We start from the raw sequence: 16,021 nt of genomic DNA, 5'->3' as shown, positions 1-16,021 counted from the left end.
ACCAATGTGGGTGGGCATGATCCAATTCACTGAGGGCCCAAAGAACAAGGGCCCTTGTCCAATTCACTGAGGGCCCAACAGAACAAAAAAGAGGAGGAAGGAAAATTTGCTCTCTCTCATTGAGCTGGAACATCCATCTTCTCCTGCCCTTGGACATTGGAGCTCCTGGTTCTCAATCCTTGGACTCTGAGACTTATACCAGCACTTCCCTGCCCACAAACCCCCATTCTTAGTACCACCATCTTTTCTGGTTCTCCAGCTTGCAAAAGGCAGATTGTGGGACTTCTCTGCTTCCATAATCTTGTGAGCCAATTCTCATAATAAGTAAATTATATATATATATACTCCTATTGGTTCTGTTTCTCTGGGGAACTCTGACTAATACAGACAGGGACAAAAAAAAATTCTCCCTGCTTAAAATTCTTTTTGTCCTGGCCTTGTCATGGTTCCTGAGACTTCTATTAGGTGTCTTACTTTTGGCTTCTAGCATTGAAAGTTCAAATGCAACCAAGGGCTAGGGTCAGGGGAGAAAGTGAAAATCATCTCGGCATGGGCTTTCTTGGAACCCCACGAAGGAGGAGATGGGATCTGTGGAACTTTCTATTGCAGTATGCACAGGTGGCTCAGATGCCCACTGCTGGTATACCTTGTAGCTGTGTTTTTACCCTCTTTCCCCTCCATAGCAAAGTCTTTTTTGGAAGTTCTCACTATATGCACACACAGAACAGCAAAACAGGCTGGGCACAGTGTCTCACACCTGTAATCCCAGCACTTTGGGAGGCCAAGGCAGGTGGATGGCTTGAGCTCAGAAGATGGAGACCAGCCTGGGCAGCATGGTGAAACCCCATCTCTACCAAAAATACAAAAAAAATTAGCTGGGCTTGTTGGCAGGCACCTGTTATCCCAGCTACTTGGGAGGCTGAGGTTGGAGGATTACTCGAGCCTGGGAAGAGGAGTTGTAGTGACCCAAGATCATGCCACTGCACTTTAGCCTGGGTGACAAAGTGAGACTCTATCTGAAAAAAAAAAAAAAAAAAAAAAGAAAAAACAAAAACAAAATGAAACTCAGCAAAGCAAAAAAAAAAGAAAAAAAACTGAAGGTTCTCTAGCTCTTTTTTATTTATTTATTTTTTTAGAGACAGTGTCTTTCTCTGTCACTCAGGCTGGAGTGCAGTGCAGAGATCATAGCTCACTGTAGCCTCCAACTCCTGGGCTCAAGCAATCCTCCCTCCTCAGCCTCCTGAGTAACTAGGACCACAGGTGTGAGCCACCATGCCTGGCGGTGGCTCACACCTGTAATCCTAGCACTTTGGGAGGCTGAGGTGGGCGGATCATGAGGTCAGGAGTTCGAGACCAGCCTGACCAACATGGTGAAACCCCGTCTCTACTAAAAATACAAAAATTAGCCGGGCATGGTGTCGCAGGCCTGTAATCCCAGCTACTCAGCAGGCTGGGGAAGGAGAATTGCTTGAATACGGGAGGCGGAGCCGAGATCGCACCACTGCACTCTAGCCTGAGCAACAGAGCGAGACTCTGTCTCAAAAAAAATAAAAATAAAAATAAATAAATAAAATTTTGGCTGGGCATGGTGGCTCACGCCTGCAATCCCAGCACTTTGGGAGGACAAAGCTAAAGGATCGCTTGAGCCCAGGCATTCGAGACCAGCCTGGGCAACATGGTGAAACCCCATCTCTACTAAAAATACAAAAATTACCCGGGTGTGGTGGATCATTCCTGTAATCCCGGCTACTCGGGAGGCTGAAGCAGGAGAATCGCTTGAACCTGGGAGGCAAAGATTGCAGTGAGCCCAGATCGTGCCACTGCACTCCAGCCTGAGCGACAGAGGGTGACCTCTGTCTAAAAAAAAAAAAATAAAAAAATAAAAATTTTTTTTTGTAAAGACAGGGGTCTCACTATGTTGCCCAGGTTGGTCTCAAACTCCTGGTCTCAAGTAATCTTCCCACCTTGGCCACCCAAAGCACTGGGATTACAGGTGTGAGCCACTGCGCCTGGCCTATTTAGTTCTTTATAGTCTCCATATTTTTCTATGCATATACTAAGCATATATTACAAACTATAACTACAGGATCCTACTACACTTGTAATTCGGCAACTTACTCTTACTCTTTTCACTTAACAATGCCCAATAGAGACCTTTATTGTCCAATCATACAAATCTATTCCTTTCCTTTTACTAATGGAGGTCTTGCTGGGAGGATGAGGACATGTTCAAATAGTAACAGCAACCACTATATCCTGGCATGAACTAGGTGCCAGGCTCTGAACTCAGCTCTTTCACATGTTTAACCCTCACAGGCACTGTGTGAGAAAGGTAGTATTATTATTTCCATTTTGCAGATGAGAAACTGAGGTGCAGAGACCTAAAAGCCCAAGATTACATAACTAGTAAGTGGCAGAGCTGGGTTTTGAATCCCGATCTTTCCTGTGCCAAAGCTTTTGCTATGAATAAATCAATAAGTGGTTGCTGGGATCATGGGTCCTGGGGAGAAAGTTCTTTCTTCAGAACCTCCCTTATATGTCCTGGGTTCTTCCTTCCAAGGGTTTGTGGTACTTGGAATCAGCATTAGCCCTTAGGAGCAACTCAGTAAAGGCCCTTCCTTTGCCTCCAGCAATCTTACAGCCATGATTACTTTTCACAGGAAGTGGTGTTTTTGAATATTTTTTCTAAAAATAAGCTATAATTTATTAGAGGCCTTTGAAGACCGGGCCAGGCATTTCAGGACACCCATGTGCCTGCCTGCAGCATAGGAAATTAATCAGAACCCCAAAGTTCCTCCCCTCCTTCCACAGGCCAGTGCTCTAGAAATGCCCAGTGCCTCATTGCAGTTCTCCTAGAGGATTGCAGAGATGCCAAGGGCGGTTTAACACAGATCCACGTCTCTGTAAAGAAGGTGAGAGGAGAAAGGCATGAAGCAGAAATGGGTCAGCTGTGCTGCAAAGAACTCTCAGAGAGAACTACACGCTGACCCCAGCTTGGAGGCATGCTGAATGGCAGAGATGCCCTGGGGCATCATCAGATGTGACTCTGCTGAATCCATCTGGGGTCTGCAGACTGGAGTGCTGGTTTCCATTCCAATGGGAATGCTTTGCAGGGCCACTTTCAGCAAGCCTCTTCCTTTCTCAAGACCCTAAAGTCTTCCATATGAAATGATTAGGTGGATTGTTATGAGGTGCTGTGTGGTGTTAATAACTAGAAATAATACTGATTATAGTAGTTATATATAAAAATACATATATAAATCATACAGTAATTATATATATATATATATATTTTTTTTTTTTGAGACAGGGTCTCGATCTGTCACCAGGCTGTAGTGCGGTGGCATTATCATGGCTTATTGCAGCCTCCACCTCCCAGGTTCAAGGGATCCTCCCACCACAGCCTCCTGAGTAGCTGAGACTGCACGGGCACCACCAGGCCTGGCTAATTTTTAGTATTTTTTGTAAAGACGGGGTTTTGCCATGTTGCCCAGGCTGGTCTCAAACTCCTGGACTCAAGTGATCCATCCCCCTGGACTCAAGTGATCCTCCCAAAGTGGTGGGATTGCAGGCATGAGCAACCGCGCCTGGTCAATATAATACTACTGAAAATAAGAATGACAGGGGCCTGATGTGGTGGCTCACGTCTGTAATCCTAGCACTTACGGAGGCCAAGGTGAGTGGATCACCTGAGGTCAGGAGTTCGAGACCAGCGTGGCCAACATGGTGAAACACCGTCTCTACTAAAAATACAAAAATTAGCCAGGTGTGGTGGCAAGTGCCGGTAATCCCAGCTACTTGGGAGGCTGAGGCAGGAGAATCTCTTGAACCTGGAAGGCAGAGGTTGCAGTGAACTGAGATCGTGCCACTGCACTCCAGCCTGGGCGACAAGAGAGAAAATTCGTCTCAAAAAAAAAAAAAAAAAAAAAGAAAGAAAAAGAAAATAAGAATGACAATCATATTGTTCATATTGTTTGTGGAACACTGTGCCTGATGTTTTCCATACAGTATCTTAGGTAATTTTAAAACAAACACCACAAGACTATATTATTATCCCCATTTTATAGATGAGAAGACAGGCTCAGAGATGGCTATTATGACCCCAGAACATATGATCCCAGGGTTTTCTGGCATCAGAGCTTGAGCTCCACAAACATGTGTGGGTTCTGACCTCCAGGAAGTGCTAAGAAACAAATGGGAGGTCAGTTCTTTATAAGTTGTAGTGTTCATGCCCACGTGAGGGTTAAACACAATGTTATTGGTTATTCAGAACAGGGAGGATTGCTTTCTGGCTGGGAGAAGCTGGGAGGTGAGACAGCAGGGGAAGAGCTTCAGCAAAGGGTCAAATGTGGGAAAGCAGTGGGTGTGCTAAGAGAAGTTTGGATAAACTTTGTGTGTGTGTGTGTGTGTGTGTGTGTGTAAAGGTAGGAAGTGATCATACCAGGCCAGGGCTTTGGCCTTTATTCCATAGGCAATAAAGAGCTTACACAAGAGATGTCTCAAGAGACCAACCATGCTGCTGTAGTCAGAGAGGAAGCAGCCCTCAGCCCATCTGTGTCCTGGCTTGTGAATGCTGCTGCGTGCCAGCGTGTGGGAGGGCATCCGCAGCGAGAGCAGTCTCTGGCTGTGTCCTGTACTATGCTGGGTGTGGGTCTTGGGCTGTCTTTGAAGCCTTCCTCCTGGCTTCTCAGGGCACTAGGTGCCTTTTAGATAGTAGACTTAAAGGAAGTATGTCATAGAAGTATGGGAGGGGATTTTGAGATCATCTGGTTATTCCCCCTTCCCATTTTAAAGAAGATGAAAATCGGGAACATAGATGGGAAAGTACTTGTCTAGCATCACACAAAGAATTAATAGCACAGTGGGGGACGGGAACCCATGCCTCCCGAGTCTGAGCTGAGTTCCTTCTCTGCATTTGCAGAGTAATAGAAATAGGATTTGTTGAGTGATTATTCCATATCAGGTTCTAGGCTAAGCACCTTTCCATTGATTATCTCATTTAATCCTCACAACCCTACTGAGAGTGTCCCGCTTTTTTCTTTTTCTTTTGAGACAGGGTCTCACTCTGTCACCCACGCCGGAGTGCAGTGGCACGATCACGGCTCACTGCAGCCTCGACCTCCCTCGGCTCAAGCGATCCTCCTACTTTAGCTTACCGGCGGGCGCCACCACTCCCGGCTAATTTTTGTATTTTTTATAGAGATGGGGTTTCGCCATGTTGCCCAGGCTGGTCTCGAACTTCTGAGTTTAAGCGATCCGTCCGCCTCAGCCTCCCAAAGTTCTGGGATTACAGACTTGAGCCACCACGCGGGCCGAAAGTGTCCCTCCTGAAATCGAGAAGTCTTGTCTTCCATTTCGATTTCCCAGGGCGCCTAGCACAGGACCCAGCTACGGAGGCAATAAAAACTTGGTGGAGTCTAAGTCCTGGGAAGGGAAAAAAAGGACGGAGGGGGCGGGGCCTACAGACAACCCCGCCCATCACAAAGACCCCGCCTTCCAGAACGCTGACGTCACAATTTGGCCCCGCCCCTCATTGTCAGTCCCGCGGAGCCAGAGGAGGCGCCGGTCGCTGGCAGCTGAGCGGCGGAACCCTTCGCTGGCGGGAGCGCGGTTCGGGGCCGCAGAGGTGAGGGTCCGTGAGGCGGCGGCGGCGGGAGCGCGGCGCGGGGAGGGGAGGGCGGCGGGGTTGGGAGGCCGGTCCCGGGTGAGGTCGGGGCACCCGCGGCCACGGGGCAGAAGAAACCGCGGGCGCAGCCGAGGAGAGATGGGGTGTGGAGTTGGGGGAGAGTTGGAATGGATTTTGGAGGAAGGGCTCAGGAGGAGACCTTTTGGGGCGAGACCCAGCACATGTTTGTGGAGTTGGAGGAAGAGACTCTGAGGAGATTTTTCCTCGGGAGGGGGAGGGAAGGTTCTGAGGAGACTTCTTGGTGGGAGCGAGACTCTGAGGAGAAATGTTTGGGGCAGAGACGCGGAGGAGACATTTTCGAGGGGGCGGCGAAGAGTTTCGGGGGTAGAGTTTGGGGTTGGGGGAGGGGGCGCGGGCCGACAGGGGCGGGGGGCGACGAGGCGGCCGTGGAGGGGGCTGCGCGGGGCCCGGCGGGCACCGGAGGAAGGAAGTGATCAGACAGGAAGGGCCCGGGAGCTGCAGCAGCAGGAGGAGGAGGGCGGTTTGGGAGCGCGTCGGGCCGGCGTGCGGGGCCAGCTGCGGGCGCGGGGCGCGGGCCGCGGGCCGGGCGGGGAGGGGTCCCGCGGCCGCCGCAGCTGTCGGCCGCGCCGGCCCGCGTCCCGGGCGCTCTGCTGGTCTCGCAGCCAGACCGCTGGGCCGGGAAGGAATTCGAGGCATTCGCTTTGTTTAAGTTGCCAGTAGACAGTCCTTAGGACTAATTAATGGTGGAATCTGCAGGGGGACGCCGGCGAGCGGGGCCGGGGCCTCCCCCCGCCCGCCGCGGTGAACTTTCCGCAGCGCGGGGCCCGCCTCCCGGCGCACCCCCGGCCCCCGCCCAGCCGCCCGGGCAGGGAAGGAGCCATGGCTTCCCGGAGCGCAGGAATGAAGTGCGGTTTCTGGGGCTGGTGGCCTCTGGCTGCGGAGCCTGCCTGCAGGGAACCTGGCGACCCGCAGCGGCCGCGCTGGGGCTTCGGAGCCCGGTTTAGAGCTCTTGGAGGTGGCTGCGGTTTCTGTGCATAACCTTGGAGGAGCCTCTGTGAGCCGAGAAAGACCATCTTGCTTTGGAGCATCTGTTTCTTCATCGCGTCAACCCCTTTCCTAACACTGCAGAGCTTGTTGTGGCTTGTTTCGGGAATGCCGAGGCCAGTGCTCACCCTTGCGGGTGGGAGAGGGGAAGAGAGTAGGCACCCCCAAAACCCCTGTAGTGTGATTTCCAGAAGGCCAGACTGCCTGCAGCTCCACCGTCGCACCTTCACTGACTTGAATGACCTTGGGAGAAGGATTGCGCTGCTGAGCCCTTGGTGCCTTATCTGTCGTTGGAGGAGAAAATACTCTCTGGACCTCCCTGCCTTTTGGGGATGTTTTGAGGGGTGGGGTTTGCTCAGGGTATTTCTTTTACAGACGGCTGCAGTTCTGGCCTAAGGAGCTGGACTGGTGTCAGAGCCGGGAGAATTCAGATCACCTAATAAGATTTGACTACCTCAAATTAGGGAGGGAGGGGTTTGGATTTTAGGAGGACATTTCTTTTTGGGGAATCTGGAAGGTGTGTTCCAGATTGCCTTCTGTCACCTTGTTTGCAACTTTGGTAGTATTCATGTGGTTAAATTGAATTACCCCCATAGAAAATTCTTCTTTTGTCAGAAATAATTGTTTTGCTCAGAATTCCCCTGGGGGCAGATTAAGGTTTTGCTCAATTTACTCCTAGAAGAATTTACTCCTAGAAGAATTTTCCAGGTTTCTAAAATTAAATCACTTTTCTAAACATAGTAACTAAAGTTTGAAAAGCTGGAAATAGTGAGCTGGGAAGGGAATGGGTTGGAGTATGAAGAAGGCAGCAAACACAGGTTCATTGTTGACCAGTGATTAATAATGCGGATTGTTAATTAGCCTTCGTTGATTATGAGGTGTTTTCTTAATCTTAAATAATTTAAGACCAAGAAAAGGAACTAATGTTGTTGAGTTGCCTATTCTGTACCCAGTAATTATGCTAGGTGGTATAGATCTTAGGCAGTCTTCCCAAGAATTTTGTGAGGTGGTAGTTAGCATCCCTTTTTTTTTTTTTTTTTTTTTTTTGAGACGGAGTGCTCTGTGTCACCCAGGCTGTAGTGCAGTGGTGCGATCTCGGCTCACTGCAACCTCCGCCTCTCATGTTTAAGCTATTCTCCTGCCTCAGCCTCCCGAGTAGCTGGGATTACAGGTGTGTGCCACCTTGCCCGGTTAATTTTTGTATTTTTAGTGGAGATGGGGTTTCACCATGTTGGCCGGGTTGGTTTCGAACTCCTGACCTCAAGTGATCTGCCCGCCTCGGCCTCCCAAAGTGCTGGGATTACAGGTGTGAGCCACCGCTCCCAGTCAGCATCCCTGTTTTATAGATGAGCAAGCCAAAGGTCAGAAAGTAAAGTGGCTGTCCCAAGTTCACACACACAACTAGTAAGAAGTGGCACTGGAATTCATACCCAGGTCTGTTTCTCAGGTCTGTGGTTGTCTCTCTACTTTGCCCACTGCCTTGGGAATCATGAGACCTAGTTTTTTGGCCTTTGACTCAGCCACTGGGTGACTGTGGGCCCTAGAATAAGTCATTTAAGTCTATTCTCCAATAGTATTGCCTTTTCTTTCAGCAGTGTTGTAAATATGCACTTGAAGTGTGCTGTTTTTCTTTTCTTTTTTTTTTTTTTTTTGGTAAAAAGACAAACATATAAGGCTGTAGTAGTGTAGTAGTGGTATGTACTATATGCCTCTAGGTGCTTACTTATTTCTTATGATGAAAGCATTTCTGTTAAAATGGGGAGTACCTAAGTGATCATATATTTCATTTATGTAATGGAAGTTGATGGATAGCTAATGGCCCTTCCAGTGTAAAGCGGCCATCATTAAGGTAACATTATCAGAAACAGAATCATTTTTCATGTAATACAGCTTTTAGGGACAGTGTCAACTTATGAGTAAAGCATGCTGTTACAGGTAGGACCCGGATAGTCCAGGCTGAAAGATGTGGTATAAACTTTGATGCATATAATAGATGCATAGCAAATATTTGATGAGTGAATGAATGAATGTAATGAATGTATTCCCTTTTTTTTTGGAGTGCAGTGCTGTGATGATGTCTCACTGCATCCTCTACTGCCTGGGCTCAAGTGATTTTCCCACGTCAGCCTTCTGAGAAGCTGGGACCACAGGTGTGTGCCACCATGCCTGGCTAACTTTTTTTTTTATTTATAGAGATGAGGTTTCCCTGTGTTTCCCAGGCTGGTCTCCTGGAACTCCTGGGTTCAGGGGATCCTCCCATGTCAGCCTCCCAAAGTGTTGAGATTACAGGCATGAGCCATCATGCCCTGCCCGGAATGCATTCTTTAAAAAAAAAAAAAAAGCTTTATTGAGGTATAATTTACATACAATAAAATTCACCAATTTTAAGTGTACAGTTTGACAAATTTTGACACATGTATACAGTTGTATAATTACCACCACTGTGTTTATTTTTTTAAACTGTGTGTTATCTTTTAGGAATTGGGTAGCAGATTTATCCCTGGGAATGTTATGAGGTTTCTATGCTCAGATTCAATACTGTGAGATCAGAATGAATATTAGAGTGTTAATGTGCCAACTTGGGAGGAAATAGGAAAACCTTCGGTATTTAATGGTGAGGTAAATAGGAAGAATAAGGAGAGACATTTATTGGATTAGGGGAAAGATAAATAAATTCAGGAGGAAGTAGATTTTAGTTACTTTTAAGACAGAGGATACATTTTGGGGAAAAAGTTACCAAAAGATTTAAGGAGTTGAACTTTTTATTTTTTTTCTTTTGAAATGGTAGCTCCTGAAATATAAAACTTAACATCTTTGGCTGTGCTTAAGAAGCGCTTAACAAATTATGGTTGTTCAAATAATACTTAAGGGTGGGGATGGTGTAAAGTGGTTGAAGGCCTTGCCCTTCCACCTATGACAGAATATCCTTAGTGTTGATCTCTAACTTGTTTTAAGTAATATTCCACAAAGGGAAGAATACATTAGGTAGCAATTGTGGCTTGCGGGGAAGATTGTTTCTTCCTTTTCATAATTTCTCAAGTCACTGAACTTCTCCCAGTATGCTTTAGCTCAAGTCTCTGTCTCTTAGAAAATGCCTGGAACCTGTGCTAGTGAGCTTCTAGAAGAAGCCCCATTTCTACCTTCTCTTTATTTTTTGATTTTATCTTTATTCATTCTGTTTCTGTATGGTGACTGTGTTTTTTTTTTTTGAGACGGTGTCTCACTGTGTCACCCAGGCTGAAGTGCAGTGGTGTGATCTTGGCTCACTGCAAGCTCCGCCTCCCGGGTTCACGCCATTCTGCCTCAGCCTCCCGAGTAGCTGGGACTACAGGCACCCGCCACCATGCCCGGCTAATTTTTTGTATTTTTAGTAGAGATGGCATTTCACCGCGTTAGCCAGGATGGTCTCGATCTCCTGACCTCGTGATCCGCCCGCTTCGGCCTCCCAAAGTGCTGGGATTAGAGGCGTGAGCCACCGCGCCCAGCCGGTGACTATTTTATAAGCCCTTCTCTCACCCATGGATTTGTCTGAGAATGGAAACTTTTTTTTTTTGCTCTGCCCGAAGCAAAGGAATTCTTGTTAAATCCACCATTGGTCCTCCGTATACCATTAGGAAATAATAATTAAAATAACCCTTTAGATCTACTCAAAGGGGTGACTATAATAGTGTTCCCTCCTTGAGCGGGGGACATGCTAATCTTCTCTGTATTATTCCAGTTTTAGTATTTGTGCTGCAGAAGTGACTACTCTGTTCACCTTTGAAAAAATAATAACTCTATGAGGTAGTCATTATCCTTATTTTATAAATGAGGGAACTGAGCTCAGAGCAGTTAACTGCCAGAGCAAGTGAGGGGCAGACCATTGATTCGAGCTCAGGTATGATTGATGCTCAGGTTTGGGGTCTATGTCATTACACTCTCAGTTGTATGGGAGTGGAGGGTCAAGGGAAGAGCTTGAAAATACCATATTAAAATATGAGCCACAACATGACAAGCATTGCTAACCTTTTTAGGCATTGCTGTTGTCATCTATGACTTTCTTAATTTCTGGAGATTCCTCCTTATGTTCTAAGGAATTGATAGTTAATCCTTTAGTATTGCACAACTTCCTTCCCAGACTCAGCATTTTTTTTTTTTTTTTTTTTAAGAGACGGGATCTCACTCTTTCTCTCGATCTGGAGTATAGTGGCAGTCATAGCTCACAGCAGCCTTGAACTCCTGGGCTTAGGCAGTTCTCCTTCCTCAGCCTCCGATTAGCTGGGACTACAAGTGTGCACCACCATGCCCAGCTAATTAAGAAACATTTTTTTTTTTTTTGTAGAGATAGGGTTTTGCTTTGTTGCCCAGGCTGGTCTTGAACTCCTGGGCTCAAGCGATTCTCCCACCTTGGCCTCCCAGAGTGTTGGGATTACAAGCATGAGTGGCACCTGGCCCCAACATGCTTTTTTTTTTTTTTTTTTTTTGAGAGAGTCTCACCCTGTCACCCAGGCTGGAGTGAAGTGGTGTGATCTCGGCTCATTGCAACTTCCACCTCCCGGGTTCAAACGATTCTTCTCCCTCAGCCTCCCAAGTAGCTGGGAGTACAGGTGCCTGCCACTACACCCAGCTAATTTTTGTATTTTTAGTAGAGACAGGGTTTTACCATGTTGGCCAGGCTGGTCTCGAGCTGCTGACCTCGTGATCCGCCTGCCTCGGCCTCCAAAAGTGCTGGGATTACAGGTGTGAGCCACCGCACCCAGCCTTATTCTTTATTAACATGGTACTTTGTATCACTGGCTGTTTGAATTACTCCTCTGAAAGCTTCTACCCGGGTAATCTTTCATTCAAGACCTGCCGTATTTGCATGTGCCCCTTTATACCGTTTGTTTCTTTATTTTTACAAAAAAATTTAAAAATATGGACTGCTTTATGAATTAGCATGTCATCCTTGTGCAGGGCACATACTAATCTTCCCTGTACCATTCCAATTTTAGTATTTGTGTTGTGGAAGTGAGCACTCTATTCCTGTTTTTATCTGGACAAAATAGTATTTTAAAAATGTATTATGGGCTGGGCTAACATGGTGAAACCCCGTGGCTACTAAAAATACAAAAAATTAGCCAGGCATGGTGGCAGGCACCTGTAGTCCCAGCTACTCGGGAGGCTGAGGCAGGAGAATGGCGAGAACCCAGGAGGCAGAGCTTGCAGTGAGCCGAGATCACGCCACTGCACTCCAGCCTGGGCAACAGAGCGAGACTCCGTCTCAAAAAAAAAAAAAATAAAAGTATATTACGTTATTAAAAACTTTATGATTGAAGTATATAATACATATACAGAAAAATGCATGTAAAAGTGGAATTTGATGTTTTTTTCCCACAAACTGAATATACCCATGTAAGCAGCACCTAGATCTAGATCAAGAAACAGCGTTACCAGTACCTAGAAGCCCCTATCCAGTTCCCTTTCAGTTCCTGTCTCCCCTCTACCACCCAGGGTAATCACCATCCTGACTTCTGACAGCATAGATTATTTTGCTCTTTTTTTGTACTTTTGTAAAAATTGAATCATATAGTATATATTGTTTGTGGTCTGGCTCCTTTTATTTAACACTAATGTGACCGTGCAAAAATTTTTAGTGGTTTTTAGATTTGGAATAAAATTCAAATTTCAGCTTTTTTTTTTTTTTTTTTTTTTTTTTGAGACAGTCTCGTTCTGTCGCCCAGGCTGGAGTGCAGTGGCGCGATCTCAGCTCACTGCAACCTCCACCTCCTGGGTTCAAGCCGTTCTCCGCCTCAGCCTCCCAAGTAGCTGGGATTAAAGGTGCCTACCACCACGCCTGGCTAATTTTCGTGTTTTTAGTAGAGACGGAGTTTCACCATGTTATGTTGGCCAGGCTGGCCATGAACTCCTGACCTCTTGATCCACTCACCTCAGCCTCCCAAGGTGCTGGGATTACAGGCGTGAGCCACTGTGCCTGGCCATTTCAGTTCTTTATTTTGACCTATAATGCCCTGTATAGCCCGTCTCCTGGCTACTTTTCGGGTAGGCAATTGGCATTTTATGCCAATCTCATTGCCCATTATGCCTCTGTTACGCTAACTTCTTATTTTTATTCTTATTTTATTTAATTTTTAGAGATGGGGTCTTACAATATTGCTCAGGCTGGTCTCAAACTCCTGGCCTCAAGCTGTCCTTTGGCCTCCAGAGTAGCTGAGATTACAGGCATGAGCCACTGGCCTTATTTATTTTTAAACTCAGTGAGCTGTTTCCTACCTCAGGGCCTTTGTATGCATGGCTCTGTCTTCCTCGAACACTTCTTTTCCCTGCTCTTTGCATGGCTGCCTTCATGCCTGAGCTTATGTATAAATATCAGGGATACTTTTTCTCATCATCGTGTCTTGCTAGTCCTTTCCCATTATTCCCTATTACTGGCTTCTGTTGCCTCCTTTCATAGCACCTATTGCAATTTATGATTATATATCTGCGTGCATGATTATTATGTCTTCCCTGCTAGATTCCATGAAAGCAGAGAACTCATCTGTTTTGTTCTCCAGTGTATCTCTAGTGCCTAACACAGTGACTGACATAGAGTAGGTATTTAATAAATATTTAATGGCCATATTCCCAATTCAGCACCTTTGGTCCCATTATCTTTTGTCCTTTCCTCTTATGCTGTTTAACTATTTAAATCTTTTCCACCCCTCAAGACTGAGCTCAGTTCTCCCTCTTTGAAGTCTATCATGGTTTTGCAACAGTTAATCTTTCTTCTCTAAAATTTTATAGCATTTATTGCCAGTACCACCTTGTGTTCATGGAAAATCACACTATCACATATCTTATTTTACCTAGTTGTATCAAAAGCTTCTTATTTTCTCAGAAATCTTGTAGCTTGTTATGCCAGTACCCCTCATATTTTTGGTTAACTTGACCAGCTTCTATTAATATCTTAATTAGCTAATTTGACTGGAAGCTTCTCGATCAGAAGCTGTTTTAGCTAATGCCCTCCTCAGTTATTTTCACTGGCACATAGTAGGTCTTTAGTAGAGTTTTTGATGACCAATGATATTTATGTATAGGTAGCAATTTTAATTTCTTAAGCTTATTAACTTGGATTCTTTTTATTAGAATCCTGCTTAGTATTTTCTCTAATCTAAAGGCCGGGAGTGCACCAACTGCTTCCGGCGATATAGAGACTATTAGGGTGTGAAAGTACAGGAGTCCAGTCCTAATGCCACAAAGCAGATTCTCCTTTGGAACTTGTCACTGGTGTAGAATTAACTATGCAGAGTTCCTTCTTAGAAAAAATGCTTTATCAGTGCTTGTTTAATGTTCTCAGATTGGAATTACTAACAGAAACAAGACACTAGGTAGTACTTTATTTGAATTTTCTGTTGACTAACATTTTATTTTGATGTCAACAAAGCAAATCTTGAGCCAATTAAATCTGCTTAAAGCTGCTTTGTCTGATGGGTAAGCTCTCTCAGTAGTTACTCTTCCTCTTGTGTTAAAGGCAGAAGAATGTTCTATAAGCCAATTTAAATGCAAATTTAAATTAGTAGCAACTTAGTTGATTTAACTCAGTACATATTTCAAATTAAGTGGTAAATTTAAATTAGTTTTTAGGAGGTACCTACTGTGTATTTTAAATCAGTGATTATTTTGGCTTTTCTGATGAAACTACATCAGAATATTACAGGGTAATGTAGTAATTGGTTTGTTTTTGTTTTTGTTTTTTGAGACGGAATTTTACCCTTGTTGCCCATGCTGGAGTGCAGTGGCGTGATCTTGGCTCACTGCAACCTCCACCTCTTGGGTTCAAGCGATTCTTCTGTCTCAGCCTCCCGAGTAGCTGGAACTACAGGCGCATGCCACCATGCCCAGCTCATTTTTGTATTTTTAGTAGAGACAGGGGTTTCACCATGTTGGCCAGGCTGGTCTCGAACTCCTGACCTCAAGTAATCCGCCTGCCTTGGCTTCCCAAAGTGTTGGGATTACAGGCATGAGCCACCGCGTCTGGCGTGATACTGATATTATTAGCCATTGGCTATGTGACAGGCACTATCCTAAGCATTTTTCATACATTAGTTTATTTACTCATTCACTCAACAAATATTTATTGAGTACCTATCATGTTTCAAGCTCATAATCTCATGTATTCTTCACCACACCCATGAAGTAAGTATATAGTTTATTATTTTAACCCCATTTTACAGATGAGGAACTGGTACACACAGAAGCTAGATATCCAGTGTCACAAGCTGTTGAGGGTCAGATACTGAGGTTTTTTAAAAGAATGCCAGTTAGTGACATCTTTGGCATGAATTAATTCTATGCTAGATTTTTATCTTTGGGAGGGGAGCAGTAATCAAATTTTTTTTTTTGAGACAGAGTCTCGCTCTGTAGCCCAGGCTGGAGTGCAGTGGTGTGATCTCGGCTCACTGCAAGCTCTGCCTCCCGGGTTCACGCCATTCTCCTGCCTCAGCCTCCCGAGTAGCTGGGACTACAGGTGCCCGCCACCACGCCTGGCTAATTTTTTTGTATTTTTAGTAGAGATGGGGTTTCACCATGTTAGCCAGGATGGTCTCAATCTCCTGACCTCGTGATCCGCCCTCCTCAGCCTCCCAAAGTGCTGGGGTTACAGACCTGAGCCACCGTGCCTGGCCAGTAATCAAATTTTGAAGTCTCTGGTAAACTGTAGTCAAAATGATTAGAACAGAATGTGATAAGCTAAACTGAGATTACTTCTTCTCTTACCCCCAACCCATCTCTTTTTTTTTTTTTTTTTGAGATGGAGTCTTGCTCTGTCAGCTCACTGCAACCTCTGTCTCCCGGGTTCAAGGGCTTCTCCTGCCTCAGCCCCCTGAATAGCTGGGATTACAGGCACCTGCCACCACAGCTGGTGAATTTTTGTATTTTTAGTAGAGACGGTGTTTCACCATGTTGGCCAGGCTAGTCTTGAACTCCTGGCCTCAGGTAATCTGCCCACCTCCGCCTCCCAAAGTGCTGGGATTAAACGCATGAGCCACCATGCCTGGACCCAACCCTTTTTTTTTTTTTTTTTTTTTTTTTTTTTTGAGACAGAGTCTTGCTCTTGCCACTCAGGTCAGGGTGCAATGGCACGATCTCGGCTCACTGCAACCTCCATCTCCCAGGTTCAAGTGATTCTCCTGCCTCAGCCTCTCAAGTGGCTGGGATTACAGGCGCCTGCCACCATGCCTGGCTAATTTTTGTATTTTTAGTAGGCAGGGTTTTGCCATGTTGGCCAGGCTGGTCTCGAACTCCTGACCGCGTGATCTGCCTGCCTTGGCCTTCCAAAGTGCTGGGATTACAGGCGTGAGCCACTGCGCCTAG

General features: G+C 45.9%; 1 protein-coding gene and 2 pseudogenes across 9 annotated transcripts in view, besides 5 other annotated features; 1 reads left to right on the top strand and 2 right to left on the bottom strand.

Moving 5' to 3' along the window:
• Positions 1 to 16,021, top strand: part of LUZP1 (leucine zipper protein 1) — a 94,481-nt gene that overhangs the window by 3,731 nt on the left and 74,729 nt on the right. For 3 of the 9 annotated variants that reach the window (NM_033631.5, XM_047429987.1, NM_001395462.2), the window contains exon 1: positions 5,536 to 5,626. The exons of 4 other annotated variants lie outside the window; for them this stretch is intronic. The gene's annotated coding sequence lies outside the window, so the exon portion shown is untranslated. Of the gene's footprint in view, positions 1 to 5,367; positions 5,627 to 16,021 lie in introns of those variants that run through there. 2 more of the 9 variants (NM_001142546.4, XM_011542090.4) reach the window with 1 other exon arrangement.
• Positions 4,642 to 4,691: an enhancer, noted in NCBI's record as "active region_357". NCBI's record gives its function as "activates an Ori minimal core promoter by ATAC-STARR-seq in GM12878 lymphoblastoid cells {active_cell/tissue: GM12878}" and the evidence as "EXISTENCE:reporter gene assay evidence [ECO:0000049][PMID:35858748]".
• Positions 5,337 to 5,396: a silencer, noted in NCBI's record as "silent region_406". NCBI's record gives its function as "represses an Ori minimal core promoter by ATAC-STARR-seq in GM12878 lymphoblastoid cells {active_cell/tissue: GM12878}" and the evidence as "EXISTENCE:reporter gene assay evidence [ECO:0000049][PMID:35858748]".
• Positions 5,767 to 6,298: an enhancer, noted in NCBI's record as "H3K27ac hESC enhancer chr1:23494587-23495118 (GRCh37/hg19 assembly coordinates)". NCBI's record gives its function as "activates a minimal SCP1, AML or CMV promoter by ChIP-STARR-seq in naive H9 embryonic stem cells {active_cell/tissue: H9 hESC(naive)}" and the evidence as "EXISTENCE:reporter gene assay evidence [ECO:0000049][PMID:30033119]".
• Positions 6,299 to 6,830: an enhancer, noted in NCBI's record as "H3K27ac hESC enhancer chr1:23494055-23494586 (GRCh37/hg19 assembly coordinates)". NCBI's record gives its function as "activates a minimal SCP1, AML or CMV promoter by ChIP-STARR-seq in naive H9 embryonic stem cells {active_cell/tissue: H9 hESC(naive)}" and the evidence as "EXISTENCE:reporter gene assay evidence [ECO:0000049][PMID:30033119]".
• Positions 6,388 to 6,527: a silencer, noted in NCBI's record as "silent region_405". NCBI's record gives its function as "represses an Ori minimal core promoter by ATAC-STARR-seq in GM12878 lymphoblastoid cells {active_cell/tissue: GM12878}" and the evidence as "EXISTENCE:reporter gene assay evidence [ECO:0000049][PMID:35858748]".
• RNU6-135P (RNA, U6 small nuclear 135, pseudogene) lies at positions 10,339 to 10,439 on the bottom strand (annotated as a pseudogene).
• On the bottom strand, positions 11,582 to 11,688 carry RNU6-514P (RNA, U6 small nuclear 514, pseudogene; annotated as a pseudogene).

The sequence above is a fragment of the Homo sapiens genome, chromosome 1 (genome assembly GCF_000001405.40).
Source record: "Homo sapiens chromosome 1, GRCh38.p14 Primary Assembly".
NCBI lineage: Eukaryota > Metazoa > Chordata > Mammalia > Primates > Hominidae > Homo > Homo sapiens.
The sequence above is the reverse complement of the archived record's forward strand: the minus strand, read 5'-3'. Positions and strand labels throughout refer to the sequence as shown.